This window comes from Homo sapiens, chromosome 3 (genome assembly GCF_000001405.40).
Source record: "Homo sapiens chromosome 3, GRCh38.p14 Primary Assembly".
Taxonomy (NCBI): Eukaryota; Metazoa; Chordata; class Mammalia; order Primates; family Hominidae; genus Homo; species Homo sapiens.
In genome coordinates this window covers 106,624,115-106,634,416 of record NC_000003.12, presented here as the reverse complement: position 1 = coordinate 106,634,416, position 10,302 = coordinate 106,624,115, and the positions used below count along the sequence as shown (strand labels likewise).

General features: G+C 35.6%; 1 long non-coding RNA gene across 1 annotated transcript in view; it reads left to right on the top strand.

Moving 5' to 3' along the window:
- The first annotated feature begins 1,905 nt into the window (after positions 1–1,905).
- LOC101929485 (uncharacterized) overlaps positions 1,906–10,302 on the top strand; it is a 254,397-nt gene continuing 246,000 nt past the window's right edge. Inside the window, exons 1-2 of the long non-coding RNA XR_007095992.1 lie at positions 1,906–2,600; positions 3,886–3,947. This is a non-coding gene — a long non-coding RNA (uncharacterized LOC101929485). The remainder of the gene's footprint in view (positions 2,601–3,885; positions 3,948–10,302) is intronic.

The following is a 10,302-nucleotide window of genomic DNA, read 5'->3' as shown; positions in this document are numbered from 1 at the left end:
CCCTTATGACGAACCTATGAAGTAGATAACATGCCTAGGTGATTTTTATCTGTAAGTTCTATTTTAACAATAAATAAATCAAGGAACAGTACTTAAAAAGTCATTAGTACAAAGTACATTTAAAGTCAAAGTACATTTAAAAAGTCATTAGTAAATACTAAAATTAGTCAAGCATAACTATTCACAATAGCAAAAATAGAGTATCAAACTAGTGTTCATCAACAGGATCAGATAAAGAAAATGTGATATATATATAGGAAGTATCTCAAGAGATATATATATAGGAAAAATATATATCTTAAGATATATATATAGGAAGATATATATATATCTTAAGATATATATAGGAAGATATATATATATATCTTAAGATATATATATAGGAAGATATATATATATCTTAAGATATATATAGGAAGATATATATATATCTTAAGATATATATATAGGAAGATATATATATATCTTAAGATACATATATAGGAAGATATATATATATCTTAAGATATATATATAGGAAGATATATATATATCTTAAGATATATATATAGGAAGATATATATATATATCTTAAGATATATATATAGGAAGATATATATATATCTTAAGATATATATATAGGAAGATATATATATATCTATAGATAACATAGATAGATAGGTATAGGAATTCTATTCAGTCATGAAAAAGATGAAATTATATATTTTGCCACAACATGGATGGAACTGGAGACTGTTATCCTAAGTAAAATAACTCAAAACCAGAAGGTGAAATACCACATTCTCAAGTATAAGTTGGTGCTAAACAACAGGTACATGGGATCATACAGAGTGGAATAATAGACATTGGAGACTCCAAAAGGTGGGATGGTGAGAGGAAAATGAGGCTTGAGGAATTACCTACTGGGTACAATGTTCACTGTTCGAGTAATAGGTTCAAGTAACACTAAAGCCCAGACTTCATGACTATGTAATATAGGCATGTAAGAAATCTGTACTTTTAACTTCTACATGTATAAGAATTAAAACATTTTTAAAAATACAAAAATTGGCTAAAAATAAAAAGAGAAGTTATAAAAATATTTTTGTGGGATGTCAAATCTTCCATTGCTCATTGAAATTGTACTTTTCAGAAAAATTTACAGTGAGAGTTTATCAAATCAGAGTGAAAACTGATTTTTTATCTCATACATCAGATGTAATGATGTAATGTATTTTCCTTGTTTTGAGACTTAGAGGAAGTATGATTTTATTAAACTTTTTTGTTTCTAATTGAAGCTATTGAACCACTAATAAATGAGTGTCAGGCTATTTGGGGAGAGAGATAGTGTAATCATGTATACTATGCATCTGTATTATATATAAAAGTTAAGAGGGTAAGTACCTGAATTAAAACAACCAAAATTTTGAAATCCTTTATGAGAAACAAGCAATTTGACCCATTTAAGTAAAAAATAGAAACTTGTATTTTAGGTCACTGAAAGGAAAAATAGGTTTTATCAGACAATTTATAGTTTGCCATGGCAGTGACCAAGTAATTATATTAGGGTACAGAAGTAGACGTAATTTAACAGGAGTTCAGATGGGACTTTTGACAGTCTATCATAGAAAAAGTTAATGAACAAAATGCTAGACTTCAGTCTAAGTGCCAACTTAGCTACAAAACTGATTGTAGCCTAAAATATGTAGGATAGCAGTAAATTGTAGGAAATCCTCATGGAGAGGTGACAAATGGAGTCCTTCAGGACTGATTGCCAGGTGCATTACTTTTTTAACACACTGTATAACTTACGGTGTCTGAATTAGTTGATAACATTAAGGATCCAATTTTATCTTTTGGAGAAGAAATTGTTGGATAGAACAGTTCAGTTGCTCTGATTTTTTTTTAAATAGTGACTATTTAGATTAATTTTATGAAATTTCACATCTTTTAGGCTGGGCTGAGAGAGAGAGAAACTTTAAAGTTCATACCTATAAAACATATACTGATTCACTACTGCTGGCAATTGTGTATGAATATCTAATACATTCTTATTGGTTAATAAACATGTATTGAATACTATCTATGAGACCTTGTGTTATGAAAATAAATTTTAAAAATCTCTTAATTCTTCTCTCAACTATGGGAGGCATTTTAATGATAGAAAAATTTTAATACCTTTTTGTAAGGATGCACAAACTAAGGATTACAAGAGCTCAGAGGAGGGGAACCTATCTAGTCCAGAGTTCAGAGGAGTCTTCCTAATAGAAGTAATATTGGCCTAATCTTGATGTATACGTGAAAGGCATTAGAGAATAGAAGCAGTGAAACATGCGGAAGAGGTCACCGTATATGTAAAGGCATAGAGGTAAGGGAGAATATCACCCACTCAGAGTATTAAAAGTATATAATCGAGAATCTAGGGTGTGTAGTAAATTATTTGCAAAAATGCCCCAAGGGAGCAGAATGGGATGGCAAGAGATTTCATCATGCTACTCAAAAAGCACACACACTTTAAAACTGACGAATCTTTACTTCTGGAATTTTGCATTTACTATTTTCAGACTGAGGTTGACTGTGAGGTAACTGAAACCACGGAAAGCAAAACTGCCAACAAGAATGTAAGTATTCCCCACCCTAGATCCATGAAATTAATAATATGACTTTTTAGATGTTCCCATCAAGAGGTTGAGTCTATTTACCCCTTGAATCAAAAGTAATTTTTTAACTTACTCGGCCAACAGAATGTGGCAGAAGAAAGGTGCCGGTTCTGAACATAGACATAAAAGATCTTGATACTTCTCTTCACTCACCTGGAAACCTGCCCAGCCACTATGTGAACAAGCACGAGTTGAGCTACCCGACAATGAAAAACCATGTGGCGCAAAGGCCATTCCGGCTGAGGCCATCCCCAAACAACCTGCTACAAGCCAATCTGGCACCTGGTCATAGATGTATAAGTGAACCCAGTTGAGACCAGAAAAATTACCCATCTGAACCCATCCAAATCACCAAACTGAGCAATATAAATGATTGTTACATAAGTCACAAAGTTTGGGTTTATGTGTTATGCAGCAAAACAAACTGATACGGTAAAATATAGTGTTGAATGGAAGAGCAGGAAAAAGATTATGCTATGTCTTTTAGGCTTTATATTGAAGGCAATAAGGACTAATACTCCAAAATTTCAAGCTTTGGTTCTTTCTTTCAATATTGATAGTTTCAGAAAACTCTAAATGTATCCTGGAAGTATATTAAAATGCTACCATCTATAATAATATATTTACAGGTATCTGAAAGAAAAAACATTTAACTTATGTTTAATGGTCAAAATAGTTTTATATGTCTAATCTCCAGGATGGGTTCAGCTGTGTAGGAAAAATGTAATCCTAACTCATGTAAATACACCCAGGAAAGTGTATTCTGGGGAAGGAAGAATACTCCCCTTGAAATGGCATTCTGTAGTCATTCTTATAATTTATGAATGATATTGCAGCCAAGAATTCCTTCATCTGCCTTAGTTTTGTCAACCTATCTTTTTTTCTGCTTCTTTATTTTTATCTGCATGTTCCTAGTAATCTTATATTTAGTCAGAAAATTATAAGCTGTCATATAGAAGCTGTTTGGCTGAAGTATGATGATGTATGTCCTTTAAAGTGTATGCTGCAACTACTTTTGACTGAAGCATGTGACATAGTCACCAAGAATCTATGGGTATATAAGGTTGAACAGGTAACCCCCAATTTACAAAGCAAATATTCTGCCAGTCTTGCATTCTCACTCTTGGGGAAATGCTCTTCTTCTAATAGCATAATTGAATGTCGCATTGTTTGAAGGTAGAATCAAGGTGAGACTTGAGGAGAAGAAATGCTACTTTTTGTCTTTTGGGTTTTTTTTTCCCTCCAGGAATAGGGAGGACCACAAGACATTTGTCACATTCCACCATAGCCTACTTCCATATTTGAGAGGTATGTGGATGTCATGGTGGGTATGTAAGTATAAAGATGACATTGTGTCATATGCACATAAATAGTTATTGGTCTTGACCTTTGACATCAGTGTTTATGGTTAAATAATCAGCCTCTTTCCACTGGCCCTCTATCTCCTGCCCAGCGTGATAGATTTAAGATGGATCCAAGAGAAAATAAACCCCTGACTTCAAGGTACACATGGACAGGCAAGGCTAACTCACCTGAGGAAAAATTAGAGAACAGCACATTTCGAATGTTCTATTTTATTAAAAGTATAGTAAACTAAATTTAAACACAATGCTATCCAGTGTACCTGTTTTCGAATTTCAGCTTATTTCAGTTGACTGGTCAGTTATATTTCATACTTGTCCTCTTCTGTCTGCTGTAATTCCTTAGATGGCAATAATACTATTGTTGAGAAATTATTCCCCTTCAAAGATATTTTTCTTTACAAAAGGGGTGGCAGAAAACCATTAGAAGTCTGTTTTCCCCAGCAACCTTGTTTCATGTATAGATTCTGAATCTGTCTTCCATCTCCCCTCTGACAAAGAGCTGTACAAAGTTCATCAATGGCAAAGTCAATTGGGTTCTCGTTCTTTCTTAAAAATATCTCCTCTCCTCAGGGATTCCTCAAGTTCCTGTCAAGAGCCACCTAGGGCAGCAAGACATCTTTAGATGTTTTCTTTCTAAGGGCAGATAATGTGTATGTGACCAAAAGCTGGTGTTTACACAACAGGGGGCAGTGAGCAAAATTATCAAGTGGGTAAAATTAGTCTCAGTCTTCTTCACTTCCCCTTTCTGAAGCTTCATCCTTGCCCTCTGGGTGCCTGGCATGTGTTCCAGCTGTTCTGTCTCAGGGAAGGGTGCTCACCGAGGGGCCCATCCTGATCTGCCTGCTGTGCAAACACTTCCTGATCTTTCCCATTTCCTCTCCTCCCTTTCCAAGCTTGTCTCATAGTAAGCCCATTCTCTTTAGGTCTGTTTTCTATTAGAAAGTGAGAGATCAGCTTGTGTTAAGCTAGCAGCAAGTTTTCATGAGACCCGTTCCCTCTTTACCCACATATGACATAATACAATACACATCAACAGGGGCTCTTGGAGTACAGATATCTAACCTGAAAATAGGAGAACAATTTCAACCATGATGTGGGATAAATTGGTATCTTAAGCAGACAACAAACACTTTGGAAGGGTTCTCTTTGTTACAGTATAAATGTATTCTTTTCTTTTTCAGAGTTGTTGAGAATCAAGTACATTTGATTCTATTTAAAGAAAATGTGAAAATGCTGGAATCCCAGCTAATTGCCTCACCTCTTCTCTGTGCCTCTGCCATTGCCAGCAGTAAAACTTTGAACATATTTTCATTTAAACCTTTATCCTAGTGAAACAAAAACACATTATGTTTTTAAAAATCTATATTTTTGTGTGCTTTAAAGGAGAAAAAAATGTGTGTGTGTATGTGTGTGTGTATGAGTGTGTGCATGTATGAGTGTGGGTGAGTTTGTCTCTGTGTGTGTGTATGTTGCAGGACAGTTCTCTGGGTGGCCTTGGACTGACCCATTTCTCTCCCCTTTTTCATTTGCAGTTCTCAGGAAAAAATTGTAGCGTGTTTTGAGAATATAATATCCTGAGATAAGGAAGGGACTGGTTGGAACATGACAGGCTTTTTCTCTCTGCCCTAGAAATTTCAATACTTTTGCCCAGCATTTTATGTTGCCCCTGAGGTATATACCCTGGAGCAACCTGCCCTTCAGGGTCCCTCAGCTGTGGTGCAAGTGGGGCATGCACAGTGGAGACTCCATCTGCCCCAGGCAGCTTTCCTGAGCCTAAGAGAACTGACTCACAATGAGTCCTAGGCTTCTGCTGCCCTTTGCTGCCTATTTGTAAGTAATACATCTGCTTCCTGTAACTTCCTGTAACTTACATGCATAAGTGTTCTGTCTTACCAGCCTCAGACAAGTTGATAACCAGTGCATGGTGAATGGGCTTCACATATGTGTGTGTGTGTTATTGTGTTTACAAGTGGCTTATGTTAGCTTTCTATTATAGCATAACAAATGTGTCACACATTTGGGAGCTTGAAACAATATCCATTTAAAATTTCTGTAGGTCCAAAGTCCAGGCAGGGCTCAACTGGGTTCTTTGCTTAGCATCCCACAAGGTTGACATCAAGGTGTTGATCATGGCTGGGTTTTCATCTGAGGGTCAGAGTCCTCTTCTGAGGCCATTCAGGTTGTTGACATAATTCATTTCCCTTTGATTGTAGGACCAAGATCCCAGTTTTCGTGCTTACTATTGACAAGGGTTGCTCTGAGTTTCTAGAATCTGCCTGCTATTCCCTGCTATATGGCTTTCTCCACAACATTGCCATTTGCTCCTTTTAAGGCTAGCAACAGAATGTCTCTGTTGCTTTGAATTGCTGGCTTCTCCTTTGTCTTATTTCTTGATCCTCATTTAAAAGGGCCTATCTGAGTAGGTTAGGCCCACGCACACTCAAAGGAGTAAGATTACGTAGGATGTGTATACCAGTGATGGAAATTTGGGAAGCTTTCTTAAAATTCTGCTTACCACAGAGCTTTTCTTGGTTTCCTTCGAAATAGTCAGCAAGGGAAGGGGAAATTAAGTGGCTAGACGTAATAAGAAGAGAAAATAGGGATCTAGTCTGAGGATCTAGTAGCACTTTGCCTTTTTCTGAAGATAGGCACTGTCCGATAGAGCTGTCTGCAATGATGCAAATGTTCTCCATCTTCTTTATCCAAGACAGTAACCATTAGGTGCATGCAGCTATTGGGAATTACAAATATGACAAAAAAACTAAAAACATGATTTTTAAATTTTTACAGCCATATGACTCTAGTGGCTACCATGTTAGAGAACATAGCTAGAGAGCAATATATAACCTCCAGCCCTTCTTCACCTTCCTCAGGTACAGAATCACTTCCCTCATGCCGAAATAGTGTGTTTGGTATTTATATCCTGCCTTTATTCTCCACCTGTGCCTGGGGTTTCAGTTTAAATCCCAGTTACTATCTTTCTATCTATCTTTAACTTCTGCCTTGAACTTTCTGCCAAGTTCACAGTTTTAGATATTGACCCATTTTCTATATAAATTCATAATTGAAGAAAGTTCTAATATTACCTAGTCCAATACCTCAATCAAAGTAGAAATCCTTTCTTATCACTGCCTTTGTCACACACATGAACACCAAAATAGTTATTGTTATCCTTCCTGAATAGGTGCTGTCTATGCAAGGTACTGAAGTGAGTGCTTCACTTTATATTCAATCTTCACAGCAACTCATGTTGCATTATTATTCCTATTTCACAGATGAAGAAACTTAGTCTTGGACAAGTTAAATAATTTCCTCAAATCTCACAATTATTTAATGCTAAAATAGAAATCAAATTCAAGTTCTTTGTCCACAATCACCCTTGATTTTACCTTTGAAATTCTATTACCTTTTCTAACAAATGCTCTTACAAAGTTCATTCAAGCTGTTTCTAGTATTACTAGTGGCGGTAAGCCCATAACTTTGAAGGACAATGCCTTCTGTTTACTGGCAGCTTTCAGAACACTTTGATTTTTCCATGTTTTTTCAGTCGTTCTTCATGAAACAAGTAGCTAAGTCACCCACTTATCTGGGTTTTCTCCCTTAGATTTGGTCCAGGGTTTAAATGTTGTTCCATAAACCAGGGGCTATAAAAATGATCCATGCTTTTATCTTGAAATCAAATATTTCTCTCAATAATTTTTACTCTCATTGTTCTCAATTTACCTCTTCAGTTGTACTAAACAAATGCTCTTAGACTGTAGGGTAGAGATTAACAGCCAAGATTTGGTATTAGGGCAGATGTAAGTTTAATTATCAGCTGTACATCTTATGAGTTGTGTGACCTTCCATTTCTCCATGCCCCTTTCTTATCTATCAAATGAGATAAAAGTATCTACCTCAAAAAACTGTTTCAAGGAGGAAATAAAAGTTTAGTGAAGCACCTGGCAGAAAGTCCAGCACATAGCAAGCACTCAGTAACAGGCAGCAGCTAATCTTATTATAGTCTTATAACTGGGGACAGCTTTTCATGTTCCTACGCCACCCAGATTTTTCCACTTTTGACACAAAATAATTCTTTCAGTGGTTCCTCTGGCAACAAATGGTTAAATCACTGACTTCCTTGGGTTTTCTTCTCTGGATTTGATCCAGGTTTTAAGCATTGTTCCACAAATGGTGGGCTCTAAAAATGAATTGTTTTATGAGCTTTTATAAATACCAAAGATTCATACCTTTGTGCCGTGTTTGAAGCTAAATCAGATGAATAAGGTTGTCCCTGCAGTCAGAGCAGTGAGAACTGCATAGGTTTTCATAGGAAAACATTTAAAAGATGCTGTTAGTGATAGAGAAGTAAAAATGAGATTCTGACATAATGCAACAATGTCGCTTCTACTGGGGAGGATTTGAGTATACACAAGCTTCCAGATCCAGTGCAACATGAAAAATGTGAGGCCACTTCTTCAAAAAGCAAAAAAAAAAATGAAAGGTATTACAATGTAAAGTGTTTTTTCTGCTGCTGCAGTTTCTTTCTTGACTTTCCAGAGGTTATATTTGCTATTTAATGTTTTTCTAAATTAAGAAAAATTAGCCTTTTAAATTTTAGCGTAGCGTTTATTGTTTATATTTGTAGTGTACAATGAAAGTTTTAAATGCGAAAGTAAGAACATTTAACTCATATCCAGAATAGCCAAAATTACACAATTCATATTTAGTAGCTTATATCACATATTTATTTTGTTCTTACTGGAACAGTGGAAATACCGCACAAAACTGACTCCAATGTTTTTAGCTCCTTGAAGTGTGCAGTGTCTATTAACATGCTTTACCTTTGTCTTGCTGAGTAAGAAAGGACTGAAAAAAAGGATCAATGAGCTCCCTGTCTTTCCTTTTCCTTCTATGGCATTATTTTCAGCTTTGGTGTTTGGTTAGTACAGGAATATCATAAATAAGAGAAATATAACAGGGTTCCTTGATCATTTCTGTTTCTTAGAATGCCATCGCCTTTTTCCTGTATTTGAACCAAGCCCTGTTCAAAAGGAAAGCATGGAATCTCTGGGTTGTTAGCATAATTACTCCATTGAAGAAGTAGCTCACTTACTTGTACTTGCTTTTATGGTGGTTCCACTGGAATTAGGCACTCTCAGGACACCATGAACACTATATGCATATATGGCAGCGGGGCACAATGTGTACATATTGTGCTTATCTTCTTTGCTCCATTGTTCTATGTGACTTGGCTTACAAAATACAATTCAAAGGTAAGATTATTAAGAATTTTAAGACAGCAACAGGACAGCATTAAGTCAAGTGTGAGGAGTTTCTGCACATGAGGCCTGCGTGACAATGTAGGTTATACATCCATGAAGCCAGCATGCATTGAGACAGATAGAAAATGAATTTTGGTAAATTTAAATTTTGATTTAATTTAATACTTATTTTAAAAAGTCTGAATATGCTGTAAAGAATTTACATTTACTCTTTACTCAGATTTATGAATTAACATTGTTTTCATTTGTTGCATAATTCTCTCCCTCTCCTGGTCTGGTTGTATTTTTCCCTTGAATTATATGAGAGTAAATGTCAGATAATGCCACTTTACCCTAAGTAATTCATTGTCTCCTTTTTAAGAAAAATAACATTCTTTCATACTTGCTATGGTTTGAATGTTTTTGTCCCCCCCAAAACTCATTTTGAAACTTAATCCTGAATGCAACAGTATTGAAAGGTCAGACCTAATGGGAAGTTTTTAGATTGTGAGGACTTTGCCCTCACGAATAGATTAATGCTGCTATAATAAAAGGCTTTTGGGAGTGAATTCACTCTCTTTCACTCTTTTGCCATGTAAGGACACAACATTTATTTCTTCTTTTCTTTGTACCTTCCTTCATGTAAAGACACAGAAAGAAGACCCTCTGCAGACACAAGACGTCAGTGCTATGATTTTGGACTTCCCAGCCTCCAGAAACATGAGTCAATAAATTTATGTTCATTATAAATTACCCAATATTTGGTATTTTGTTATAGCAGCACAAAATGAGCTATAAAGGAAATTGGTACCAGGAGTGGGGCATTGCTGACAAATACCTGAAAATGTGAAAGCAGTTTTAGAAGTTGGTAATGGGTAGAAGCTGAAAGAATTTGAAGCACCAGGCTTTAAAAGTCCTAATTTCTGTGAACTGAACATTAAGGGCAATGCTAGTGAGAGATGAAAAGAAGATAAAAGCTGTTTATAGTCATGAACAGAATGTTAGTAGAAATACAGAAAGTAAAGGCCATACTGAGGAAGTCTCAGAGGGAAATGT